The 26,342-nt window shown below is 47.4% G+C and overlaps 1 protein-coding gene and 1 long non-coding RNA gene across 21 annotated transcripts in view, besides 4 other annotated features; one reads left to right on the top strand and one right to left on the bottom strand.

Moving 5' to 3' along the window:
* The window catches only part of WNT5A (Wnt family member 5A), a 39,549-nt gene continuing 13,440 nt past the window's right edge, over nucleotides 234–26,342 (top strand). The window contains exons 1-8 of one of the 20 annotated variants that reach the window (XM_047448854.1): nucleotides 234–335; nucleotides 3,715–3,898; nucleotides 6,256–6,336; nucleotides 8,020–8,108; nucleotides 11,442–11,667; nucleotides 11,750–15,467; nucleotides 24,579–24,712; nucleotides 25,933–26,183. In XM_047448854.1, the coding sequence (XP_047304810.1) occupies nucleotides 24,618–24,712; nucleotides 25,933–26,183 (346 nt within the window). In that variant the 5' untranslated portion in view covers nucleotides 234–335; nucleotides 3,715–3,898; nucleotides 6,256–6,336; ... (2 more) ...; nucleotides 11,750–15,467; nucleotides 24,579–24,617. Of the gene's footprint in view, nucleotides 336–3,714; nucleotides 3,899–6,255; nucleotides 8,109–11,441; nucleotides 11,668–11,749; nucleotides 15,468–15,551; nucleotides 15,661–16,415; nucleotides 16,566–18,190; nucleotides 18,518–20,211; nucleotides 20,249–20,354; nucleotides 20,477–21,079; nucleotides 21,818–24,098; nucleotides 24,388–24,578; nucleotides 24,713–25,932; nucleotides 26,184–26,342 lie in introns of those variants that run through there. The other 19 variants (XM_011534086.3, XM_017007128.2, XM_047448858.1 and 16 more) reach the window with 19 other exon arrangements.
* Nucleotides 13,265–14,982: an enhancer, noted in NCBI's record as "VISTA enhancer hs1472". NCBI's record gives its function as "enhancer in: tail[11/12]" and the evidence as "EXISTENCE:transgenic organism evidence [ECO:0001131][PMID:17130149]".
* Nucleotides 15,545–16,056: an enhancer, noted in NCBI's record as "H3K4me1 hESC enhancer chr3:55523469-55523980 (GRCh37/hg19 assembly coordinates)". NCBI's record gives its function as "activates a minimal SCP1, AML or CMV promoter by ChIP-STARR-seq in primed H9 embryonic stem cells {active_cell/tissue: H9 hESC(primed)}" and the evidence as "EXISTENCE:reporter gene assay evidence [ECO:0000049][PMID:30033119]".
* Nucleotides 16,057–16,567: an enhancer, noted in NCBI's record as "H3K4me1 hESC enhancer chr3:55522958-55523468 (GRCh37/hg19 assembly coordinates)". NCBI's record gives its function as "activates a minimal SCP1, AML or CMV promoter by ChIP-STARR-seq in primed H9 embryonic stem cells {active_cell/tissue: H9 hESC(primed)}" and the evidence as "EXISTENCE:reporter gene assay evidence [ECO:0000049][PMID:30033119]".
* Nucleotides 17,189–17,879, bottom strand: WNT5A-AS1 (WNT5A antisense RNA 1). The gene is made up of 2 exons (NR_046656.1): nucleotides 17,618–17,879; nucleotides 17,189–17,507 (listed from the first exon to the last, which is right to left on the bottom strand). It is a non-coding gene; the product is annotated as a WNT5A antisense RNA 1 (long non-coding RNA).
* Nucleotides 22,972–23,582: an enhancer, noted in NCBI's record as "H3K4me1 hESC enhancer chr3:55515943-55516553 (GRCh37/hg19 assembly coordinates)". NCBI's record gives its function as "activates a minimal SCP1, AML or CMV promoter by ChIP-STARR-seq in primed H9 embryonic stem cells {active_cell/tissue: H9 hESC(primed)}" and the evidence as "EXISTENCE:reporter gene assay evidence [ECO:0000049][PMID:30033119]".

Genomic DNA, 26,342 nt, shown 5'->3' with positions numbered 1-26,342 from the left:
GGAAGTCTTCCTCCTTCCTTGCATAGGTATAAGATACTCAGGTGATAGTGGTTTGGCTATGTTCCCACCCAAATGTCATCTTGAACCGTAGTTCCCATAATCCCCACATGTCGCGGGAGGGATCTGGTGGAAGGTGACCGGATCAGTGGGGCGGTTTCCCCCATGCTGTTCTCATGATAGTGAGTTCTCACGAGATCTGATGATTTTATAAGCCTCTGGCATTTCCCCTGCTTGCACTTCTCCCTGCTGCCACCTTGTGAAGAAAGTGCCTTGCTTCCCCTTTGCCTACCACCATGATAGTAAGTTTCCTGAGGCCTCCTGAGCCATGCTGAACTGTGAGTCAATTAAACCTCTTTCCTTTATAAATTACCCAGTCTTGGGCAGTTCTTTATAGCAGCATTAGAATGAACTAATATGTCGGGTGAATAAATCAAGCACCAGATTTGAGAATAAAAGCTCTTCAGAAGGAACCATTGCTTCCTGCTGCTACAGGAACAAATCTTACAGCCTACTGGGTGAAAGCAGATGTACAAAAGAGGACATACTGTGTGATTCTATCTATATAAAGCTCAGAAAAAGACAAAATTAATATATAGGGTTAGGAGTTGGGATTCTTGACCTGGAAATTTATTACATGATCATGTTCAGTTTGTGAAAATTCATCAAGTGATATACTTACAATTTGTGTACTTTTCTACCTCTCTGTTTTATCTTATTTGAAAGGTTTAGCCTAGGCCGGGCACAGTGGCTTACGCCTGTAATCCCAGCAATTTGGGAGGCCGAGGTGGGCAGATCACCTGAGGTTGGGAGTTTGAGACCAGCCTGACCAACATGGAGAAACCCCGTCTCTACTAAAAATACAAAATGAGCCGGGTATGGTGGTGCATGCCTGTAATCTCAGCTACTCGGGAGGGTGAGGCAGGAGAATCGCTTGAACCCGGGAGGGCAGAGGTTGCGGTGAGCCGATATCGCGCCATTGAGCTCCAGCTTGGGCAACAATTTTTTTTCTCAAAAAAAAAAAAAAAGGGGTTTACCCTAAAAAATTTTAATGCCATCAAGCATTAATCCAGTTTCACATCACAGGGGTTGGAAAACTAAGGCCTATGGAATAAATGTAGGCTTCAGGGTTTCTTCTGTTTGTTTGTTTTTGTTTTTTGGGGGCAGGCACTATGTCTTAAAAATTTCTTTCTTTTCTTTCTTTCTTTTTTTATTTTATTTTTATTTTTTTGAGACAGAGTCTCACCCTGTCGCTCAGGCTGGAGTGCAGTGGCATGATCTTGGCTTGCTGCAACCTCCGCCTCCCAGGCTCAAGCAATCCTGCCTCAGCCACCCGAGTAGCTGAGATTACAGGCCTGTGCCACCATGTCTGGCTAATTTTTGTATTTTTAGTGGAGACAGGGTTTCTCCATATTGGCCAGGCTTGTCTTGAACTCCTGACCTCAAGTGATCCACCTGTCTTGGCCTCCCAAAGTTCTGAAATTACAGGTGTGAGCCACCGTGCCCCAAAATTTATTCTCTAACTCCTGTTTTTTGTTCGTTTGTTTGTTTGGGACAGAGTCTTGCTCTGTTGCTGCAGCTGGAGTGCAGTAGTGCAATCATAGCTCACTGCAGCCTCCAACGCCTGGGCTCAAGCAATCCTCCTGTGTCAGCCTTCTGGGTAGCTGGGACTATTGGTACGCACTACCATGCCCAGCTAATTTTTTTATTTTATGGAGTTGAGGTCTCACTATATTGCCCAAGCCAGTCTTGAACTCCTGGCCTCAAGCTATCCTCCTATCTCAGCCTCCCAAAGTGCTGGGATTATAGGCATGAGCCACTGCACCTGGCTAAAATTTTTTGATGGTGCAGTAGTGGTAGGCTTGGAGCCCTGCAAGCCTGTGGAAGTGTTGGGTATACTTGCCATTTCTCTTGTCCTCACTTCACTCTAAAATGTTACACCTGGCCAACTTCACCCTTGTGTGTAACCTGCCTGACCCCTGAGTGCATCTGGGTTTATAGTCTCTTAAAATCCTGACTCCACAGCATGCCAAATAAGTAATCCTTGGCCAGTTATTCAGTCTCTCTGTGTTTGTTTCCTCATCCTAAAATTGTAATACAACTCCAGAAGGTTTGGGTTTTTGTTTTTTAACAAGGATCAAATGGTCATTTAACACAATGCCAACCACATAATAGATCCTGAACAAATGGAAATGATAGGTATTATTACCAGTAATAAAATCACAAATAATAAAAATGTTCAATCAAGTAAGATTGCTGACTCCCAGCCATTCTCTCACAAGAACCACTGCTGAGCTGGTCCTTGCTCAGATCCCATTTGCCACGTCAGGGTTTTCCTTGACCACGTTTAATAACCAGTTTCCAGATCTGGATATTGGGGGCTGTAAATTTCCCTGGTTACTGTTGCCAATGACAGGGAAGGAAAGACTTGTATAATTACCACTTGTACTTCCACAAGACACATGAACTCAAGTTGAGAGCAAGAGTTTTGGACAATAAAACACCAGGTTTTAAAAATTCAGGAAAGACCTGCCCAACTTGTGTGATAAGAAATGTGGGCCTGGTTAGAAAAACAGAAAAAGGCCTAATGCCAGTATGGCATAAGCACCATAAGCCTTCAGTTTGAATAGGACCATTTCCTCTTTCCCACACAAATGCTACATATTCACACATCTATAAGAATTTAAGGCTTTAGGATTAGCCATGGGTTGATTAGGTCTCAGTACCTTTGCCTATGTCCAAAATCCGTAGCCGTGGTTTTCAATGTTTCTTTTGTAATACAAAATGCCTGTCTTAGTTGATTTTACAGCATGATTCTTTGCCATGCTGTTCAACATTCTTCAAACATAGTAGCTTAATGGGTTCTATGAAAATATCCCATGTCTGAAACCTACTAGGACTTTTGGAAATATCAAGACATTATAACTCCATTTGGAAATGCTTAAGATAGTTCTTTGCAAGGTGTCAGATTTGGGTCCCAAACTCTAGTTGATGTTCTGGTTTCTGAACATTATGTTTTTAGCTTGAGAGAAACAAGGTGGAACTAAGTTGCAGGGAAGGAATTGTCTTGACTTTTGATTCCACAAAAAGTGTTTGATTTTTGAAAAAAAGAAAGAAAATGGATAAGCTTTAAAATTGTTTCCCCACAATGTCTGTGCATTAGCAAGCTAGCATTCCTGCAGTAGGCATGGGTCACAGTTGGTGTTTTCTGAAAGGAGCTGACCCCATCAGCACAAGACCAAAGGGGTCGAAAAAAGATTGAACAGATTGAGCAGTGATAGGAGACAGAATTGGAATTTCTTAAGGTGACCAGTCCCAAATCTCCTGTACTTCCAGAAATTATGAAGTCATGGGAGAAGAATTTCTCCAAGAGTCTGATTTGGCTGCTCAAAGAAACTGAAATCCAACAAATCCAGAAGTGGCCACTGAATTCTTAAAGAACAAGCTCATAGCATGACGTGTGGCTAGTTGTAAAGGGGTTGTTGCCCTCCCACCAATCTAACTAAATGGGGCCTTATTTTCCTTTTGATAATAACGATTTCACCAAAACCTCACCTTGCCCCAAACCAGTCAAAATTGATAACAGAGTAATTTATTTTAAATCACCAAAGACTCAGGTGGACAGAAAGGAATAAAAATTTGCTTCAGGAATTTGGAGGGGCAGGGCCTTTTACAAAATTGGACAAGAGGGGTCATTAATAGCATTTTCTCCAACAGACCAATTTTCTTTGCGTATGCCCTTGGAGTTATTAGCTCAAAGAATAGATTTCTCTTGGCCCACCTGGAAGCCTTCTCTTTTCCTAACTGATGACTTTGGATTATACAACTTTACCTACTGTTAAAAGTACACAGATGAAAAGAGTAAAGGGTATTTGACTGACGAGTGAACATGAGCTCAAAGGTGAGTAATTGGATTCCAGATTTTGTACAATTCAAAGATCATTTATGTTCATCTTTTCTCAGTCTCAACATCAGAGAAATTTCAAGATGCTCCCTAAACCTTTCTACGTTCTACAGATTCTCTAAAGAAAAGAACACACAACCAGCACTTCTTTGTAGAACAATTCTCCCTTTATCCTCCAAAACTGTGCGTGCACAGGTCTGATTAAATGTAAGAACTAGGTAAAATGAATACCACATTTGGAGCAAGGAGTTGCATTTTTTATTTTTTAGCCAATACTTTAGAAAAATCTGATGTCAGTTTGGACATTGCTGTTGAACCAATCCAGTTCGATGCAGCTGCAGAAATCTCATTTAAGGCCAGTCATTTAAGGAGGAGGGCATATAACTGGATATTAGCACATAGTGGTAGCCAGCCAATCAGTTTCTGCATTTGATTGGAATTTCGGAAGATAATTGTTTCATTCCCAGGCCTGTCTCTGGCTCACCATTTGACCCCAAACTAATTGCTTAATCTCTCTTGGCTTCAGATATTCTATCTTGAAAGTGATAATAATAATAACTTCCAACTACCTATCTCATCCGGGTATTGAGTGGATTAATGGGGTCATGTTTGTAAAGTCTTGGAAAATTCTCAAGAGAGAAAACGTTCTACCTCTTTTTTGATTCTGGTTGGTAATGTTTTAGGGCCATAGATGGGTAAGGCTGCATTTAATGAAGTCATTATTACAGAGTCATGTTCTTTCCCTCTTTATAACTAAGGAAAGTCCTCTATTGAAAGCAGAACTTGTCATCACTATGAAATCTCTGATTCTCTTTGTTGGTGCTGGAACTCCTGTGGTAAACCAGGCTTTCTCCTCTATCTAAATAGTACACGAAGCTCTGAGGAAGTAACTATGATTTCATGGCCACAGGGAATTACTCAGAATATTTCTACTTCAGTAATTCATAGACTTTTGGGGTCAAACAGACAGGTTTGAGCCCTGTCTCTGCCACTTCCTGGCTGAGTAGCCCCAAGCAAATCACTCAGTGTTCCTGTGCTACCTTTATGCTTAGCACAATGTCCAATACATGACAAGCTGTCAGGAAGCATTTTCCACATTAATAATATGTGTAATAGTAACTGCACGTATTTTCTAGTGTCATGAGGAAATATAATGAGTGCTAGTTCTTAGTGAACCAAAACTTAACTCATCAGAGCTTGTGCTTAACCTGGGTATTCATGGCCATCCATTAACAATATTCTCATTCTGTGAGCCCTTTAGATTTAGGAAAATAGCAAATCAAAAGGAAATAACTTTGTGTCAGGGATTTATGCAAATTCCCATAGTATATTTTTCTGTCAATACTGATTTAGCCCAAGCTCTTGATTTTCCAGGTGCAATCCTGCAGGGTAGCTATGAAGAGCTGACATTTACTAAGAAAAAAACTCATGGTAAACACTGTAAATCCTGTTTTCTCATTTCCAGAAGGGCAGAAATTTTATCTAATTTTTGCCCAACTCTGTGGCCCTGCCTGGTACACAGGAGGCTTACAGTAAGTATTTACTGTGGGATAAATTGCTGAATCCACAGGAAAAATCTAGTTAATTTAATTTAATTTAATTTTTTTTTTTTTTTGGAGGGGGGATGGAGTCTCGTTCTGTTGCCCAGGCTGGAGTGCAGTGGCTCTATCTCGGCTCACTGCAGACTCTGCCTCCTGGGTTCAGTTGATTCTCCTGCCTCAGCCTCCCAAGTAGCTGGGACTACAGGCGCATGCCACCAAGTGCAGCTAATTTTTGTATTTTTAATAGAGATGGGGTTTCACAATGTTAGCCAGGCTGGTCTCGAACTCCTGACCTTAAAATGATCTGCCTGCCTTGGCCTCCCAAAGTGCTGGGATTACAGGCGTGAGCCACCATGCCTGGCCTTAAATTTTATTTCTAATGGGCATAGGGCATCTAAGGTCTTTTCTTCTCCCCTGTGAAAATTTAGATTTTAAGACTTAAAGTCAACCGCTAATGGATTTAGTTTACTTAAACCATTTAAATTATGTTTCCAAATGAAATAGTATCAGAAAAAACATGGAAATCAAGAGTACTTTTCAAAGACAGTTGGTGACTTTTCCACTGATAGTCCCAAATATGTCAAAGCCAGATGTCCTGTAGGTGTAGGTGTAGGTCACAGGCTGCATCTTCTGTCAGTCAGCCTCAGAGTGGTCTGTCTCTAAGAGAAACTCCTCACCTACTGTCTTCCCGCTTTGCATTCATGGACTTGTCCTCAGAGTACTCCCAAGCCGCTTGCTTTACTCACACATGGAATCACCTCCCACTCTGCACCATTAATTCATCAGCATTCACTTCCCGTGGTTTCTTCCTAGCCCGACAAGATATTCTGCCTCAAGAGAAGATCAAAACTCCTGTAACCTCTGTGAGGCTATCCAAATCCCAGCAGGGAACAGGTATCTTCCATTTAACTCTAAACCTGACTTTGCCTTTTTTACTTAAACATTAATTTTCCTAAAACAACCAAGCATTTTTGTATTGTCAGAGCTCTTTCAACTGCAAGGGATAAACCTTGATTTCACTAAATAGAGAAAGAAGACAAGGAGGATAATGGCCTTAGGCACAATTGGACCCGAGGGCTCTAACGAGGTCAGAAGACCAGTGTCTCATTTTTCTTGGCATTGCTGGGCTTTGTTTACTTCTAGACTGCCTTCATTTTCAGTGTTGCTTTTGTTATATGATGCCCCCCAACCCTTACCCAGAAACTCCACATTTAGAGCCAAACAGGTTAAAAATTTCAAAGGAAAGTTGGCTCCCCTATGTCTCTATTGGGGAAAAAAAAAATCCTGAGACTATCTCTGTTAATCTAGTCTGTGTCACGTGACTCTTCTGATGGGCCCGACCTGAGTCACATGCCCCTACCTTAAGTCAGGGGGTGGAGCTAGCCCCACCAAATCATCTGTCCTGGAAGGAGAGTATAGGTGAGTCCTCAGAGGAGAGTCAAAGGTGCTCTTAACAGCAGAAGAAAGAATTGATGCTGGACAGGTGTTCCGACTAGGTGCTCTGTCTCCGTAGCTGTCATAATCCTTTGTCTTCTTTCTTCAGTAGTGTGTCTGCTTTTCCTCTATGCCTCGTGTCTCCCACGTACCTCATTGTGTAGCATTAATCAGTGTTACTCTCATCATCCTTATTGTACAGGCCTGGATACTCTGCTTTATTGTGAGTCCTTGAGAGCGGGAGCCGCGGCTCATTTAGTTCACCATCCCCACTGATTAGCATAATTCCTGGCACATACATAGTAGATAATCTAATGAGTTTTCCAAAAAGGAAGAAATTGATGATCCCCCTGGAAATCAAGTCCCTGAATGGGTGACACCGTTCAAAGGTATGAACATGGTCTTAAGGCTCAAGTGAAAACTCCATGATGAACAGTGACGGCTGTCACATAAGGAAGATGCCTGGAAGCAAACTGAAGAATGTGCCATTATGAGTCTGCACTGCTGGGTTCAAAACAAAACAAGTAGAAAGAAGCCACCTAATTTTGGCCTTGTCAACCCTTCATGAGATGTATGACAACAGGCAAATGGATACAATTTTGACTTAAACATGAATACAGTAATTTGAAATCCTGCCAGGATTTCATTTTAACCTCTGTAGATGACAAGTAGAGGACAAATGTAATTCTCTCTCACTGCTCTTCTGGAAGAATTGTCTTGGCACCTTTCTTTCTTCCTAATTCCCTTCTCCATCCTTTTCTTCCATCCTTCCCACCTCTCTTGGCTCTTCCCTTCTATCTCTCTCCATCTCTCCTCATATTTTTCTACTGCTCCCCTCTGCTTTTGCCCTTTGCAGGAATCACGGCTTTTGATTTACAGGGCTCATTTAAATTCTGCCTATGTGACCTTGGGCAAGTTGCTTCATCTTTTGGAGCTTACTCTCCTCATCTGTAACACTGGAATATTAATATGCATTACTAATATTCCAGTCAGGCTCAATGATATTATGTATGTAAAATGCTCAGCACAGACTAGAGGGAGTGCATTTGAAGAGAAGTAGAAGAAAATTGTATTTGCTGTGGGGTAGTGGGGATTGTAAACAAGAGACTGTGTTAGTTCTAAGTTCTCCCTGTCTCAAACCAGCCAGAGTCCAAAGTGCCTCATCTGTTGGATGACAGTGCTTGGAAGCCCTGCCAATGAAATGGCCACTGCAGAGTGTTTGTCTCCTAATGGTGAGTGACTCACTTGCTTGCTGGACCCCCTTTGGACAGATTTCTAGGGTTAGCCAGCCAGCACAAGGAGGAATCCCTAATGTTGAACTTGGGCTTTCAGCCCTTTAGCCCTCTTCCAGGACTACTGAGCTAAGAGGCCACAGGCCTAACGACAGCCCATGCAGCAGTAACATCCAGGATATGTTTACAAACATATTTAGGAGGCTCCCACCTCACCCATGCATTTGGGACTGTCTTCTAGATCCTGTTCAAGTCTGACACTCAGCAAGTGCTCAGTAATTATCTGTTGATTAAAATGGACAAACCGGTGTGATCTGGCACGTACAATACTAATTCGACAAATGAATGAATGGGTGGGCCGTAAATGCTTGTTAAATGAATGGTTGATGATCCACAGTAGGTGACCCGTAAATATCTGTTGAAGGAGCAAACAACGGGATGAATGAATGAATGCATAGCGTATCAGTCATGTCTATGGCCCTTACTTTCCATAAGCTTTAAGCTACTCTTCGATTTATTTTTTGTAGCTATAATTCAGTCCCAATAAACTGACTCTCTAAATTTATGATTTGCTTTTATTTTCTGTTGGCAAATTTTGAAATAGATGTTGATATCCTCTGGATGGAATCCCATTTTCAAATAGCAAAGAGAGATTTTCAAACCTCCTTGAATGGAGCATGCATGCTGAACAAGAGAGGGAAGGCGCTTATGTTCCCACTAATCTCTGTTATGACATAGCTGCATGACTAAGGACTGAGGGCCACAGGGGGAGGATCATGCTCCTGGGTTGAGCAGAAGAGGGTTGTCCACAAATGACACGTGAGTGGAGCCATCGCGTTCCTGTATATACTCAGTAGATACATGTACCTGCCGGAATAGGTAAATTTAATCCTTTGCTATTATTCACTTCACTTTCCTGAATTCTGTGGTATTTCCAAAGAGTGACTGCTTTTCTCCTGGGTTAAGTAGAAATCTTTGCTTAAGTCAAAACCACTTACCTTAAATACATTCAATGACATGGGGATCTTTTGCCCTGGGAATATTTCTGATATTTTTCAAAGCCAATGAATTGTCATTTGACCTTAATGGACACATATAGATCACTGAACTGAAGATTAAACTGAGTGGAGCAAAGAAGCTTTTATCCAAAATTCACTGATTCATTGAGAGATTTTGGGGAAGTCATAACAGAGTCATTTTATTCACCATTGATGATTATAGCAGCAAAGATACAAAATTAAAAGGACTTGGGATTTAATTCTGCTGTTTAGAATTACATCAGGTACCTTTTAAGGGGGTTGGGGATATTGACAATGAAAAAAACACATTAGGGTAACATGTTAAAATTCAAAAAAACGTAAAATTTCTATGTTCTAACTTTTCAGAAAATTCTTGAAAAGTTAAAAAATGCAGTCAGCTTCCTGGATGTTTTGTGTACAGCTTGATGTCAGGAATACCAAGTAACTTACTAAATGACTAAACTCTGTCCTTTTCACTTAGAAATGTTGAACTATTGTGTAGCTCTCTTGCCATTTTTCTCGCCATTGGTTTAATATTAAAAATTGTGTAACATTTATCAGTGGGAATGTAAATTAATACAGCCATTATGAAAAACAGCATGGAGGTTCCTTAGAAAGCTAAAAATTAAAAACTACCGTATGATCCAGTAATTCCACTTCTAAGTATATATTCAAAGGAAATGAGGTCAGTATATTAAAAAGGTACCTGCACTCCCAAATGTTCATTGCAGCATTATTTATTACAATGAATATGGAGATATGGAATCAACTTAAGTGTTCATCAATGGGAATTGATAAGGCAAATGTGGCATAGATACACAATGGAATACTATTCAGTCTTAAAAAAGAAGAAAATCTTATCATTTGAGACAACATGAATGAACCTAGAGGAGATTATGCTAAGTAAAATAAGCGAGGCACAGAGAGGCAAATGCTGCATGATCTCACTTACATACAAAATCTAAAAAAGTTGAACTTACAGAAGCCAAGAGTAGAATGGTGGTTGCCAAAGTAGGGAGAGGGACGAGGTCTAAGGAGATGTTGGTCAAATGATGCAAATTTTCAGTTAGATAGGAGAAATAAGTTCAAAAGATCTATTGTATAATATGGTGACTATAGTTAATAACAAGGTATTGTGTACTTGAAAATTGCTAAGACTACAAATTTTCGATGTGCTCATCACAAAAGAATGTCAAGTATGTGAGGTAATGGATATGTTATAATAATTAGTTGATTTAGGCTTTTCACAAAGTATACATGTTTCAAAACATTGTTTTGTACACCAGATGTATGTACAATTTTTGTCAATTAAAAATAAATCAATTTTATTTATAGAAAAATTTTAAAAAATTATGTTATGTGGTAGTCTTGAGATTTGAGGATGCACTTTTATTCTTTGGCCAAAGTCTAACACTTGTCCAAATGTGTCCCCAGGTAGGCTTTCCAGGTGGCCATGAAAGGAGGACTGTTTGTTGCTTCTTATCTGGAAGGGATGAATTTGGTCTATTTAATTTTGCCATTAAAAGTAATGGCGGTCTGGTGCCATGGCTCACACCTGTAATCCCAGCACTTTGGGAGGCCAAGGTGGGTGGATCATGAGGTCAAGAGTTCAAGACCAGCCTGGCCAACATGGTGAAACGCTGTCTGTACTAAAAATGCAAAAATTAGCCAGGCGTGGTGGCAGGCGCCTTTAATCCCAGCTACTTGGGAGGCTGAGGCAGGAGAATCACTTGAACCTGGGGGGCAGAGGTTGTAGTGAGCTAAGATCGCACCACTGCACTCCAGCCTGGGAGACAAGAGTGAGACTCTATCAAAAAAAAGAAAAAAAGTAATGGCAAAAACCACAATTACTTTTGTACCAACCTAATATGTTTGAATCCAGTTTGGACCAAACTTGAGCATTAGCTGGCTGCTTTCTAATGAGCTCTTATATTTCTGCCATCTGTTTTCACAGCATGCTCAATGTGAAAACTTTGAAAACACTCCACTTTTCTAGATTTCCCTTCCGGAGAATGGACTTAGCTGAGCAGTTTAAAAACCTGCTTTTATTAATACATACCCAGGAGTATGGCCATGTTTGAGTTGTTTAAGAACAAAAGTAATTATTGAGAACAGTCAAATCAGATTTCCAAAGCCCTATGCCACAGATTTAGACATATAATATTGACAATTCCAAAAATAAATAAATAAAATAAAACAAAATACAAACCCAGCATTTTCTCCTATCTCTTTGATAAAAAAGTCTGCTTCTTCCATGTAAGTTAAGGGACTTGTATTCCCCAGAACCGGTTAATCTATATTCTTCTAAACCCAGCATGTAGATGATCAGCGGGCCACATAGAATACGCAATGGAAAATGCTGAGCTGTGTCACAGGACTGAACATACCAGCTGCCATTCATAAAACATGCCACTTAGGAGCAAACAACTTTTCAGAAGAAACAATATGACACAAGGGGAGAGTAAATGGGATACCGTCTTTCTTCGGATGAAAACTATTTCTCTTATTAAACTCTTTCCACTAAGGCAAGCCTTATATGGGTAAGGCCAAGGGAAAAAGTGGGGACACATATGGGAAACCAGAGAGATATCTTCTAAAAAATAGTTTTGTTTTTATTTATAGGTAAAGTGTGGTGATTAAGTCCCTTACATTTAAAGTCAGATTACCAGGGTTCAAACTTTTGCTCAGCAGTGGCATGGCCACAGGTAAGATCATTCCTTCATTCACTTATTTAGAACACGTTCTCTGTGTGAGTCAGTAGGGGTTTGTGTCACAACTATGAACAAGGCCAACCAGGTCTTGCCCTCCTGGAGCTTATTTTCTATTGAGAGAAAACAAGACAGACAAGTAAACAAATATACTTGTAAATAAAATAATTTTAGATCAGGATAAGACAATCAGACAAAGCAAGGGAGTAGAGAATCATGGGGAAAAGACAGCAGCTTCTTTGAGACTGATGTGTACAATGAGGAGGTGACTTCAAGGGAGTGAGGGTGACTGGTCAGAAGGGACAGCGTTGCAGGCAGAGGGAAGAATAAGTACAAAGGATGCATGTGGATGAAGCTATCCTGAAGTCCAGGTTAACTTGTTTCGATTTTATCTGATAAACTCTGGGGAGCCTCTGAAGGGCTTTAAGCAGAGATGTGACATGACCTGAGCAGCACTGGGGAGAGACAGCCCTCAGGCCCTCATTCATTCCTTTGGGGATAACAAGCTCTTTCCAGAGAGAAGGGAATTCCCAGGGCACTGCCCAATACAAGGTAAGAATTCAAGGTAAATTGCTGAGTATGGATGGTGTCGTTCTTGATGGTGGCGGGGCAAAAGCAGAGACGTCAAAGCCAGCCAGTTAATGAAATAAGAACAAATCTTTGACAGTTCCATTGAGCTGAGCTTGAATCAGGCGTTCCTGATGTGGCTGAATCTGGTTGTGTGCACGTCTGGTGTTCAGTGGAGTGAAATCAGAAGGTGTCAGGATTCGCAACTCCTAAAACAGCTTGGTTTTATCAAAATCAGGACCTCTTTGAACCTTCCTTTTCTCCACAATGCAGATAATAATACGATCTATCTCACAAAGTAGTGAGGATGAAACAAGGCAATGAATGTAAAGAGTTTAGACAGGGCTAGCATCTGGCACATAGAGCTCAGTAAGTGTTGCCAGCAATTATTATGATTGTTTATTACCGATTATTATCTCAACACATACCTGCCCCATCTTTGTTGAATTCTGTCATATAGGCATGGCCGGTGATCCTATAATTGCCACATTCCTCTCCTCTTCCCAGCCCCTACCTCTACTCTCCTCAGGCTCCTCGTTTTTCTCCAGATTCCACCAGGGGACCCAGGAACAGACATTTACAGTGCAGAAATAATCACAGTAGCTGCCATTCATCAAGCTATCTCCATAGGCAGAGCTGGACCAAGGTCTTTTGTACATTATCTCAATTATGAGAACAATCCTAATATATTTGTTTCCTATCTCCACTGTAGAGGTGAGAAAATTGAGGCTCAAAAGGGTAGGTGACCACTACAGGGTCACTCAGTCAGCAAGAGGCAGAGCTGGGATTCAGACTCACATCCATCTGACCCACAGGTTCCCTAAAATGAAACAAAATTAAAGCATCCATTTAGTGCCCCCCCGCCACAAAGCACCATTGACTATGAAATGGTCATAGTCAATATAACATATAACACATAACACATAAGTGTTATATAAGGAAAGGACACCCTATTCAACAAATGGTGCTGGGATAATTGGCATATAACACATAAGTAAGTTAGGAGGGCATAGTGAGTGATCAGTGCAAGGAGAGCTTGAGAGTCTCAAAGAGCCTCCTGGAGTCAACCCAGAATCCAAAAATGTCCTCTAATTTCAAAGGAGCCTTTGCCCCCCACAGGCCAGTGGCAGCACAAAGAGATGGTATTACTTTGACGGTGGCCATGTGGTTGTGAGGAAGCCCCCGACCCCTTTCCGGCCTCTTTGTCTTCTTTAGGGCTCCATCTGTGGCCCTGCTCACACAGCCCTGCTGGTCTTGACTCTGAGGTGAAGGAGTAAACATCTTGGGGCTCTTTATTAGTTTATTTCAGAAGATGGAGCCTGTTTGCCCCTGGGGCCCATCCCTCTTTTATGGCCTCCAGGCTTTCTTGACAAATTCTAGTGACTGGAGAGAAAACCGCTTTCTACAGCAGATCATTAAAACACCACCATAAACCCAGGGCCATAAAATATTATTTGCTGGGCATAAAAGGGGGGTAGATTTTCCCAGAATGACAACCCAGGCCCTGCTTTCCCCTGCTGGGAAAGGCGGCACAGGGATGCAGTCGTTCATAAATTCCTTATCTTGCACTCTGCTTTGTGAATAATCCGGTTGGGAGAGCAGCCAAAAATATTGATTTATTTGTTCCACAGATTCAGAAGCATTTTTAATGAGCAGAGTGTGGTGATGCCTTGCCAGTATATCTTCGGATGACTCAATCTGAGGCACACACCCAAATGCACACACGGTTTGCAAGGGGAAACATGAAGTTCCACAAACTGGAGGTCTGTCGAACATGAACCCTCACAGATGGAGAGGCATTGGTTTCTCTCCTTCCAACTGTCTGCTCATTTCCCAGCCAAACCAATCAACACCATCATGGGACTGGTGCTTACAACTGAGCCTGGCTTTCTAAGGCAGTCCCCACCCCTACCCACTATTGAAGGGTCAAAAGGGATTTCAAGTTGGTTCTCCTTAACACCGTCCTCTGAAATAATTCTTTCATCCATTCGCCCATTCGTGTGGTTGTTACTTCTAAGCACCTACTAAGTGCCAGGCATTGTTCTGAGGACTGGGGTTCCAGCCATGAAAACCGCAGATGAGGTCCTGCTGACATGAAGCTTATTGCTCCTGGGGCATAATCTCAGCACACTAATTATTAATATTATCAGATAAAACAACTCTTTATCTGAAGTCCTTGGGACTAGACGGTTTTGTTGGAAATTTTGGGAAAATAAAATGGGGCATATTGCTATTAATTTGCAAGCAGCCCAGTGAGGTCTGGGGAAATACCCAGTAACCAAATGCATTTGTATTCATTCAGTGAAGAGTATTCCTAGCAAGTGGAATAAATCAAGATTATGTCTTGTCATGTGAGGTCCAGTTTTACCACCACAGGAGTTTGAAAACCTCTGTTTTCAGAGCTGCTTTTTTTCTAGAAGAGCAGGCATTGAGTGCCAGGTAAGGGCCTGACCCATGCTAAGAGCATTCCTAGATATCGTGTTTCATTCTCAGTACTGCCCTGATTTTCAAGCTCATCTCATTTCATTCTCAATGCATTTCTGCAAGGTAGATCATGAAATTTCTGCTTGCTGCTGTTGTTGCTGTTGTTGTGTGTAAGAGGGTTCTGAAGTGCTGGCTGAGAGGCTAGACAAGGTGTGACAGCTGGAAAGTGGCAGGGCAGGGACTGGAACTCCAGATTCCACAGCTGGCACTCTTAACCACTAACCAACACCGACTTCCACTAGAGGAAAGACTGCAGAACAGGAAATAGCACTGTTTGGGCTGTGTCTATACAAGCAAAGGCAATTGGAGAGAAGCAGGTGATTATCCAGATAACTCAGAAAATAGCCATTAAAAAATAAAGGTTTGTGGTTGGGTAGCCAGTATTTCTAGACTGGCTGTATGTGTGGAGGAAATGCCCAGGTTAACGGCCCTTTTCTTCATAGAATAGGATCCTCTACACGAACTGCCTTGGACTCTGGGACACTGGGATGCTAGTTTCTCCATTCTTCGGGAGCGCCCTTTGGCAGCCCCTTTCATAGTCAGCTCATATCCTGCCACTTCTTGGAGCTGCTGCACGTAAGGTGGGTCCCGGAGATCCCTGCCCGCGGGGCGGGGCTGGAGTGTCTGCCTAGGAGGCACATGCTCTCCCGCAGCCAGGGAATCTCAGTCTGCGGCCACTGGGCAGAACGGCAAGGGAGAGGGGGAAGGGCGGAGGGACGCAGCCTGGGGGCGATTTGCCGGGCGGAGACGCTCTTTTTCAGACACCCTCCTCAGGTGGGCAGATCTCAGGTTAGATTCGAAGACTGTAAAATGCCCACAGGTCGGGAAGTGGTCAAGGTTTACAGAGGAGAAGGTTAGAGGAATGGAGACTCAGGAGGTAAAGGGGAGATGTCCCAAGGGGAGCTTTGAGAACCTTGGATTCCCTCTCCTTAAGGCCGCACACGCCCTGGGGGAAAGAAAGCAAGTTGGTGGGAGGCGGGAGGTGCTAAGCAGGAGCATCTGTCTCTGGCACTTGGTGGGAAGTTCACACTGCCATCTTTGCGCGCCAGGAAGGAGGCCAGGGCTGGGGAAGGGTCCAGTCGGCTAGGAAAATTAAGGAATGGGAAGGGGCTGTGGAGGGTGGAACGGCATCGCTGGAGCCTGGGCCTGCGCCCTCTGGGGTGTGGGGGTGGAGGTGGGGGAGGACTGGAGGAACAAAACAAAACAGCCACCACACCAAAACACCTAGGCCACGGATTTTTCGCCTTAAGGTCAAGTGCATGCCAATGGACGGAGAAAATTGAATAGTGTGTGTGTGTGTGTGTGTGTGTGTGTGTGCGCGCGTGTGTGTGTCTTCACCTTTGACAGCTGGAGAATGCAGACGGCGGAAAATAACTATTACGCTCCAGTGTGAGGCACTGTTTGTGGGGTGGGGCCCTCGGCGTGCTGGAGGTAGCGGACACAAATCCACCAACCCTGCCCCTCCGGAGTCCCCAAAACCACGGGCATCTGGAAGCGTCTAGAAATTCCGGTGCCCGGAACCCGGTTTTGCCAAACTTCGCAATCTCCTCACCTGAGGGCACCCGCCAAGATCTCCGTGGCAGGACCACGCATCGCGCCTCATGCTCTGGGCCGGAGCCAGATGAGCAATCATGCATCCCACTACCCAAGTCCCTACTACTCTGGGGACTTTGCAGGAGGTGAGCGCCTAACCCTATCCATCAGCCCCAGTGCTTAAGTATCCTCCCCCAGAGGTAAGAATGAGGAGGTCCCCCATGAGGTTCCATGTCAAGGCAGCAGTCTCCGTGGAGCCCCAGTGGGAGCGGTCTGGGATACGCGGGCGAGCCAAGGGGTCCAGGCGGGGAAGTTGGGGTTCAGCCTCCCGCCGGTCGGTGGCTCTGGAAGGAGCGCAGACAACCAGGCGGCAGGCAGGCAGCGGCTGCGGAGTGGACCTCTCTCTTTCAGCAGATGCCGCGGGGGATGGGGAACTTAGAGAAGGGGAGACAAGGAGAGTGTACCCCGCCTCCCGGCACCCCAGCCCGTAGTACGGCTTTAAAATCCTGCAGAGTTTGTCATAGGCCGGCCTCACCACGCATGCGCATAGCAAAGTTGAGTTTTTTCTTTCTTCCCCCCCCTTCCCTCTCTCTTTCCAGCCGCCCCTAGTTCTGAAACTTTAAAGAACTTTTTTCTTTCTTTCTTTCTTTCTTTTTTTTTTTTTCTTCCTTCTGAGAACACCAGGGGAAAGAGGAGTCTGGAGAGAGGGAGGGAGAGAGTAAGGCAGTTGGCCAGAAGGGCTGGGGGGTGGGAGGGGGGGACGCGTCCCCGCGGTCGGTCAGTCTGTTTGCGGGGCACAGGATCGCGTGGAAATCTGCTGCGAGCTCCACGGAGCCGCCTCCGCCGCCCAGAGCCGGGGTCCGTGCGGCAGCTGCCCAGCGAGCCCTTCCGCCGCCGCCGTTGTGCCCGGGACCGCCCGCCTCCCGCCGGCCCGCTCTCCCGCCCCTCGGACCCGGGCGCCAAACGAGGAGGTGGGCAGCTTCGCCGGCCATGGACCGCCGGAGCTGAGTCGCCGCCGCGGAGCTCCGAGCTCTCGCCCTTCCCCAGCCTCGCGCCCGCGGTGCACTCGCTGCTCTTCGCCCTTCGCCCTGGAAAAACGGGGAAAAGAGAGATCAACCCGAAGAGAGAAAGAACGGGATACGTGGTGGGGGGGGGGAGCCCGCGTCTCCCCTGGGTTAGTCGCACCCCTCCAGCTCACCGCACAGCAATAAGTTCCGGGGCGACTTTCACCTATTTTGCTCCCCGTTTTTGCCGAACCCTAAAATGAAAGGACACAATTTGGGGCTGACTCTTGCAGCTCAGATGGCGACTTGTGCGTTTTCAGCGGCATCTCCCGGAGAAAAAGCCATGCGCGCCTGATTGTTCTGTGGCCCCAAAGCTGCAGCGGGGGTGTGTGTGTTGGGGTGTGTGTCTGTGTGTGTACAGAGACGTCCACACTAACTCGCGGCTGCAGGATCAGCGTCTGGAAGCAGACGTTTCGGCTACAGACCCAGAGAGGAGGAGCTGGAGATCAGGAGGCGTGAGCCGCCAAGAGTTTGCAGAATCTGTGGTGTGAATGAACTGGGGGCACCTGGGCGCACAGATCGCCCCCCTTCCCCCGCCCCGGGCCACAGTTGAGTAGTGGTACATTTTTTTCACCCTCTTGTGAAGAATTTCTTTTTATTATTATTTGTCGTAAGGTCTTTTGCACAATCACGCCCACATTTGGGGTTGGAAAGCCCTAATTACCGCCGTCGCTGATGGACGTTGGAAACGGAGCGCCTCTCCGTGGAACAGTTGCCTGCGCGCCCTCGCCGGACCGGCGGCTCCCTAGTTGCGCCCCGACCAGGCCCTGCCCTTGCTGCCGGCTCGCGCGCGTCCGCGCCCCCTCCATTCCTGGGCGCATCCCAGCTCTGCCCCAACTCGGGAGTCCAGGCCCGGGCGCCAGTGCCCGCTTCAGCTCCGGTTCACTGCGCCCGCCGGACGCGCGCCGGAGGACTCCGCAGCCCTGCTCCTGACCGTCCCCCCAGGCTTAACCCGGTCGCTCCGCTCGGATTCCTCGGCTGCGCTCGCTCGGGTGGCGACTTCCTCCCCGCGCCCCCTCCCCCTCGCCATGAAGGTAGGTGTTCAGTGCGCTGCCACTTTTTTTCTTTACTTCCCCCCACCCCCTGTTGGAAGTTAACTGAGTTCCCTTCGCCTCTTCCTATCCCTCCATTTCCCCAACCGCCTGAAGAAGCTGGAACTCCAGCGTCGCTGGCAGGAACCCCTACCCCTTCGCCCTCCACGCCGGGCGCACTGCCTCAGTGTCCCAGGAGATCACTTCTGGTCGCACCACCCGTTCTGCAAACAATTTTGATTTTTGAGAAAAAGTGGGGAAGAGCGATAGTAGACAAACTGAGTGCGGTTCACTGACGACTTTCCTTTTGCTCTGAGAACATCGAGTGTAATTTACTATGTATATTTCAGTAACAGGATAATGATTCAATTCAACAAATATTTACCAAGCGCCCACTGCGCGGGCACCGGGACGGTGTGTGGCCGGGGCTCGGGATGGGGAAAGGGACTCCTTGGTTGAGAGAACCCGCAGAGGAACTAGGGGCCAACTACTCCAGAGCGGCGTACACCTTCCCCGACACCCCCCCGCACCGACGGAGGCCAGATTGTAGGCTTGCCTTGGCCGAGTAACTCGAGCGCTTCAGGCCCCTTTGCCTTTAAGAGTGCCTGGCGGGGGGCCAGCGCGCACCCCGGCGCGGGGAGCGGGGTCGCGTTATTAGCATTATTAGCCGCCACTGGGTGAGCTCAGGCACTTTGCAGCAGTGGTGGGGGCGGGGAGTTGTGGTGGTAGTGGCTGTAATCCCGTACTCCGGGACAGCGCTCCCCGGCCCCCTGAGCGGAGTCCGCCTTGTCCTTTAGAAAACACTTGGGCCTCCGCTTTGGGAGAGCAGGCGGGGGCCAGTTTGCGAACTCTTGTTTGTTTTAATTGTCAGTTGTATGTTAAAGCCGAATCACACACTCCGAGGGTCACTGAGAGTTCACTTTTACGAAAAGTTAACGTTTCTTCCTGCAACATAAGTTTTTATTTTCTAAACAATTTTTCTTATCTGTCCTCCAAGCTTCGATTCCTATTTCCATTTTTCTGGTCTTTCCCATTTTAAGTTTCTTAGAAAATAAGGTTAGAATTGAAATTAAGATGTTTCCTGGAAGCAAATAACCCCTCTTCCCCCCAAAAAGTTAAAAAAAACAACAACAAAAAACTTCAAGTCTGGAGACCCCACGGCCCTGTTTGACTTTCTAATCCCTGTCTGGTATCGAGGCCCCTTCTCCTCTCTCGCCTCTCTTTTCTCTCTTCTCTCTTTAAATGGGTAATTCGCTGTTTGGAAGTAACTTGGGCCTTGCGGTGAGGTCGCACCTCCTCAGCCCCTGCCCTCCCCCCAGCCACCTTCGCACATTCACTGCCGAACCAGCCAGATTTAGTTTCTAGACAGACTCTGCCAGGGGAGTTTCGAGGGGGCAATGCGGAGAGTGCGCAGCGAACCGCGGGCCGACAAATGTGTGTGTGTCCGAGTGTGTGGATCCTTGGCTGCGTGTGTGTGCGTGTGTGTTTGTGTGTGTAGGGGAGTTGTTCTCGGGTCCAGGACGTAGTAGCCTTCGTCTCCTCCACCCCCCGACCCTCTCAACGGAAGACCCTCCCCAGGAGGCCCGGCCCAAGAGTCCCCTGTCTTCTCCTCCCCTCCCCCGTGCGCTCCGGTGCTCAAGGGGTTAGCACTATGCGCGCAGAACTCGGAGCCATCCCCGCGGCCTTTTCTTCCCCGCGGTGCGGTGCCGGCTGCCCCCTGTTGGCCGCCTTGAGGTAGGACTCCTGCGAGCCTCGGTTCCTTGGGGCGGGCGGGCGGGCAGCTGCTCCCCTCTCCCTCCCACCCCTGCTCCCTTCATCCCTCCCGACCACCAGACCCCACTCTCCCAGCAGGGGCCCTCGGAGGCCCCCAGAGGACCAGTTTCGCTGCGCCGCCGGCCGCTGCAATACGGAAGGGGCCACGGGTCCAGCCCAGCAAATGGGACTCGGCCAGCTGGACACAGGGTTGGTACCTCTTCTTCTGGGCTTGGGAAGGAGAGTGTCGCCCTAGGAGGCCTCGGGTCTGGCCTCAGCTGCCTCCCAACTCTCTATGATCGAGAACAAGTGTTGCTTTCCCGCTTTTCGCCTCACTTTAATCGTCTATTAAAAAGTGGGAGAGAAACTACCTTTAAAGAGTGGGGGTTGGACTATCATTTCATTTTCTTCCTCTGTCCAAGGACTCTGCTCCACCTCTGGACAAAGTTGATCCTCTGCCGAGAGGGCTAGACATCCTATGTGAGAAGGTGTGAGTGGTGTGTGTGTGTGTGTGTGTGTGTGTGTGTGTGTGTGTGTGTGTGTGTATCCTGGGGCCTGGAAAGCCCAGTCTAAGGGATGGACGAGGGGGCAGGAAACAGAGGAGAACCAGGCCAGACCGTTCTTCCCCTGGGGCCTCTCTATACCCGAACCTGGAACCTGCTGTCAGTGTTGAGGCCTGGGCGGCTCTCTTTTGTCATACTGATTCTGGCTCAAGGTGTAACCTCCGCCTTCTCTATCTGGCAATTCCCTCCTCCCCTACCCCGCTCCGCGCGCGCCAACACACATATTGCTGTGGACACAACCCTTGCGCCCAGGCGTGAGGCTTAGGGAGTAGTGGCTCCTTTGTCTGCTCCCCTAAAGCGGACCTCCTACCCGCCTGGGCCGGCCCATTCTTTAGCTCCTCGCGCCGCTCCCCGCATTCTCCAGGGCAGGACGTCCCAAGTTTTTGGCTGCAACTGAGTGCTCTCCTGCTAGTTTCTGCATCTCTCTCCTTGCTTTAGGGAGAGATCAGAGTGGGGAAAACAGCTTTCTTTTTCCACCAAGAGTGGAGATTCTTTTTGGAGTTTCCCATCCTCCCCTTCGCTGCCATAAGCCTGGGTCAAATGGGCTTCTTCCGCCTATTTGGCGTCCCTCATCGTTTCACTCCCAGAAACTTGGGGCCTAAACGTAGAGAGTCTAGCAGAAGGGGATGCCTAGACTGAATGTGGCAGTGCCCCGGGGCCGAGGGGAGAGGATCTTTGCTTGGCCTTTTTATCTATTCTCTTAAGGGACTGCCTGCGGAGGAGGAGTTGGGTGTTGCGAGACTTTAGGTGTGCATCCGGCTGCTCCCCGCGCCCTCCGAACGTCCTCTGAACAATTTTGCTACTGAGGTTTCCTCTCCCTCATCCCTCATCACGCCTGGCCCGCACCGTGGTTGGTAAAGAAGGATCAAGAACACCTTTAATCCGACGCGAAGGCTTTGAGGGATACATAGAAAGGGAGCCACGTCGTTGAGCTGCTCTGGATTGAAGAGGAGGACGCGGGAACGCCCTCCTCCACCTCACTCCTCTGGTGCGCTGAGCCCCTCAAACGCCCCCAGTCCTCCTCCCCGTGGCACGCGAGGAAGATTCTCAGTGTCCTTACAGAGTCATCTTCCCTGAGCCCCGAAAGTGTTGGAAAACATTTAGCCCCTTCTTTGGGAAACTCAGTTTCTGATCAGAATTTTTGTTTTACCCCTGGGGTTGACAGTCTCCCCAGAGGTCTCATTTCATACTGTCTTTTCGGATCTGATCTCTTGGTAAACAGGCGGGGATGTTTTACCCTACAGAGCCGATGTATGTGTGAGTTCGCTGTGAGTTCTTTGAGTGTCTCAAACTTGTGGGGCCTTTTCTCGGTTGCACTGGGATTGAAGAGGGAAGAGGGCCAAGGTGTTTCCGGGCAAGCGGCGGGGTTAAGTGGAGATGCGACTCGTGAGGCTCTCCTTTCCGATCCCCCTTTGGGACACCCTCTGCCTACCTCTACCCTGGAGCCAGGGAGACCCAAGTCTTGGTGACCGGATGGGCCCGCTCTCAGTTGGCCTGGGCTCTGGGAACTGGTGGACTCTCCCTGGGGGCTTCGGGCTGGGAGTGGGTTCGGTTTGTGTGGCTTCGGCTCTAACAAAGAGATCCGCTGTAATCCGCCGAATCTGTTATCAATTTCTCTGCTGCTTGAGCCCCGCCCCACGCGCCCCGCTCGCCGCGAAGCTTGGAAAGTGCACGCGGCCAGCACCAATCTGGGCCGCTGACTCGGAAACATGTCGCAGCGTGTGTGTCTATGCACGCGTGTGAGTGTGTAAATGTGCACGAGTGTGAATGTGTATGATGTGTGTGCACGCGGCATCGGCTGCCCTTGGGGAGAGTTGACTTTGCAGCCTGGGCTGCGCGAGAAGCAGACTTTGCAGCCCACTCCCTCCCCTGGAGGAAATTTGACACTTAGGGCGGGGGTGGGGAGATAGCCGGAGCCTTCTCTCTCCTAGCTGGGGAAACCCCAGATTTCCATTCTCCAGGATGCGCCCCCCAGCTTTGCAGCGTTTTGGGGACAACTGGGCCTTGGGTGTGGAGCCCTGCTTAGCAGGCGCTGGGGACCACATAAGCATTTCCTCTTTGAGAAGCCCCGAAGCGTCCAGGCCAAAGGGGCGGCTCACGGAGAAAAACCTTGGCACGCCCCTGAGCCCCATAGCTTTACCAGGGCTGCCTAGGTCCCCTCTGCCCCTTTTACGGCACAGGTTCCAAGCCAGGCTCTTCCACCGCCTTAAAGAGGCTCACCTTTCTTTTCTTTTCTGTGGAAGGGGCTCCTTCAGGGGCTATGGGCGATGCAGTGCGGCAGGGTTAGACTTACGTGTAAGGGGATTTTTAAAACCCGCTCCTCCCACCCGCACCCGCCACCTACTCGCTCCGCCGCCGCCTACAGGTGGAGAAGTCACCAGTGGGGAGGAACGGCAGCGGAAGCTTCCAAGGCCAACTCCTACCCCTGAAATTCTTCAGGAAGGGAACCTTCGCCGCTGGGGGCCTCTTTGCCCTGGAATCGATGCGCCCAGCTGCGGCTCGGAAGCCAGCGCCTCTGGCCCCGTCTGGACTCATCTGCAAGGGCTCTGGCCTCGCCCCGCACCCCCACCTTTCGGCACTGACCGAACCAAGTCTGAGTTGGGCTGGAGAGGCTAGACTGGAGGCAGGGTGGCAGAGTTCCAACGACAGGCTCGCAGTGCCGCGATGGCAAAGTGGCCCACAACCCCAGATCAGGACCAAGGGAAACTGGAGTCTCTCTGGGCCTCCCATCTCCTCCCTCCCTGGCAGCTGCCAGGTGTGGGGTGGGAGGGAGAGTGAAAAATCAGAATTTGGGAGAAAGCTGTGGGGAGGGCAGGGAAGGGATCTTCTCCCCGGGGAAGCGAGACCCAGACTCCCTTCTTTCCTCTAGGGTTCCATCCCTTCTCTCAGTCCGTGGAAGAGGCCACAGGCGACGCGGGCGAGGGTGGCACTCTTTTCCAGTTTCCTTGGTTGGGAGACCCGACCTCTCTCTCCATTATCCCCTAGGGCCCCCATCTCCTTCTCCCCTCCCTAGTCTGGCTGAAGAACGTCCTTAAGGAAATCCGGGCTGCTCTTCCCCATCTGGAAGTGGCTTTCCCCACATCGGCTCGTAAACTGATTATGAAACATACGATGTTAATTCGGAGCTGCATTTCCCAGCTGGGCACTCTCGCGCGCTGGTCCCCGGGGCCTCGCCCCCCACCCCCTGCCCTTCCCTCCCGCGTCCTGCCCCCATCCTCCACCCCCCGCGCTGGCCACCCCGCCTCCTTGGCAGCCTCTGGCGGCAGCGCGCTCCACTCGCCTCCGTGCTCCTCTCGCCCATGGAATTAATTCTGGCTCCACTTGTTGCTCGGCCCAGGTTGGGGAGAGGACGGAGGGTGGCCGCAGCGGGTTCCTGAGTGAATTACCCAGGAGGGACTGAGCACAGCACCAACTAGAGGGGGGCCAGGGGGTGCGGGACTCGAGCGAGCAGGAAGGAGGCAGCGCCTGGCACCAGGGCTTTGACTCAACAGAATTGAGACACGTTTGTAATCGCTGGCGTGCCCCGCGCACAGGATCCCAGCGAAATCAGATTTCCTGGTGAGGTTGCGTGGGTGGATTAATTTGGAAAAAGAAACTGCCTATATCTTGCCATCAAAAAACTCACGGAGGAGAAGCGCAGTCAATCAACAGTAAACTTAAGAGACCCCGGATGCTTCCGTTGTTTAAACTTGTATGCTTGAAAATTATCTGAGAGGCAATAAACATCTGCTCCTTTCTTCCCTCTCCAGAAGTCCATTGGAATATTAAGCCCAGGAGTTGCTTTGGGGATGGCTGGAAGTGCAATGTCTTCCAAGTTCTTCCTAGTGGCTTTGGCCATATTTTTCTCCTTCGCCCAGGTTGTAATTGAAGCCAATTCTTGGTGGTAAGTTCATTCTATGTGCGTGTTCTTCCTCTTCTTTTTCTTTTTTTAAGATTTGTTTGTATGATGCGGCAATATTTAATGCTGGATAGTGAGTGTGGGTGTATTTATTGCAAGACATATGTATACATTTTACTTATATATAGTTTTAAATCAGAATTTTCTTTTAACTTGTTAATATTGTAAAGCTTATCTTCAGCTCCTAGGGAATGGGAAACTATAAATCTAGGCCTGTTTCTATGAAGCCCTTGTTCAGACGTGTGCTTGTAGTACATCATGCAATAAAAAAGAACAGAAATTCACTTTGCTAGTAATTGTAAGCCTATCTACAAAATTTACTTTTTGCCACCTCTAGGTAGTAAAAGTGAGTTTCAGCCTTTATCTTCTGTTACTCGAGATTATTATTAACCTACAGAGTTTGAATTAGGCAGAGTTCTAGGAGGACAGCTACACTCCAAGTGCAGAAGTATTGGGGCTTGAAATGTAATCAAAAGGAGGTTAACTTGAAGTAGTCAAATGTCCCCAAGTGGGGGTTTCTTTCTGGGTAGGGGCCTTGTAGATAGACTGTAATATATCCAGAGGATTATTTTTGACGGCATTCTGGGTATTTTTTTCCCTGTAAATGAACAGCATTTTTCTGACTGTCAAACATGACTTCTGTTCACTGGGTACCCTGTCTTGGGTCCCTCACAATCACATAAGGAGCCCTTTTAAAATGTCAAGAAACATGGTGAATTTTCTCCAGTCTGTATACTTGTCCCTCTGTTCTTCCATCAGTCAAAAGGAACTGCTATCTCCTACCCGTATCTAATTGTGTCTACTTTCAGCATTCATAAGTTTTCAAGGCAGATTGGTCCAATTTGTGGGGCAAAGTGGGTCACTTTCTCTAATGTCAGAGGCCTGTCCCTCAAACTGCTGTTTCCTCCTTTTCTGAGTGGATTTTGGAAATACTGGTTCAGGTATATGGTGACAGGGGCTAGGAAGGGAGTGAAAATACTAACTGAGGAGCCAGATGGCAGGATGGGGACTGCACAATACCTCCGTTTTCTGAGTGCAGTTTAAACAGAGGAGTTTTATGAAGCCCTTCTCATACTTTGTCATGAGGACAAGCAGGAGAGAAAAAAGCATCTGTGTGCTTAAAACTATGTATTGCTGACATGCTTTCAGGGGGCCCACCTCGAGATTTCACGTAAATCTTGAATGCACATCTCCCCCCCTTGCAGGTCGCTAGGTATGAATAACCCTGTTCAGATGTCAGAAGTATATATTATAGGAGCACAGCCTCTCTGCAGCCAACTGGCAGGACTTTCTCAAGGACAGAAGAAACTGTGCCACTTGTATCAGGACCACATGCAGTACATCGGAGAAGGCGCGAAGACAGGCATCAAAGAATGCCAGTATCAATTCCGACATCGAAGGTGGAACTGCAGCACTGTGGATAACACCTCTGTTTTTGGCAGGGTGATGCAGATAGGTAGGAAAACATTTAAAATATTTTTTTAAAACATTAACTTTTTTTCCTAGAAGAAATCCTTAGCATTTACTTCATGCTTGATAGAAAGCATGAAGGAGGATGCCTTCCAGCTCGGGTGGTGGCTTGGGCATTTTTGTCATTATAGCAAATGATGTTAAT

The sequence above is a fragment of the Homo sapiens genome, chromosome 3 (assembly GCF_000001405.40).
Source record: "Homo sapiens chromosome 3, GRCh38.p14 Primary Assembly".
NCBI classification, from domain to species: Eukaryota; Metazoa; Chordata; class Mammalia; order Primates; family Hominidae; genus Homo; species Homo sapiens.
The sequence above is the reverse complement of the archived record's forward strand: the minus strand, read 5'-3'. Positions and strand labels throughout refer to the sequence as shown.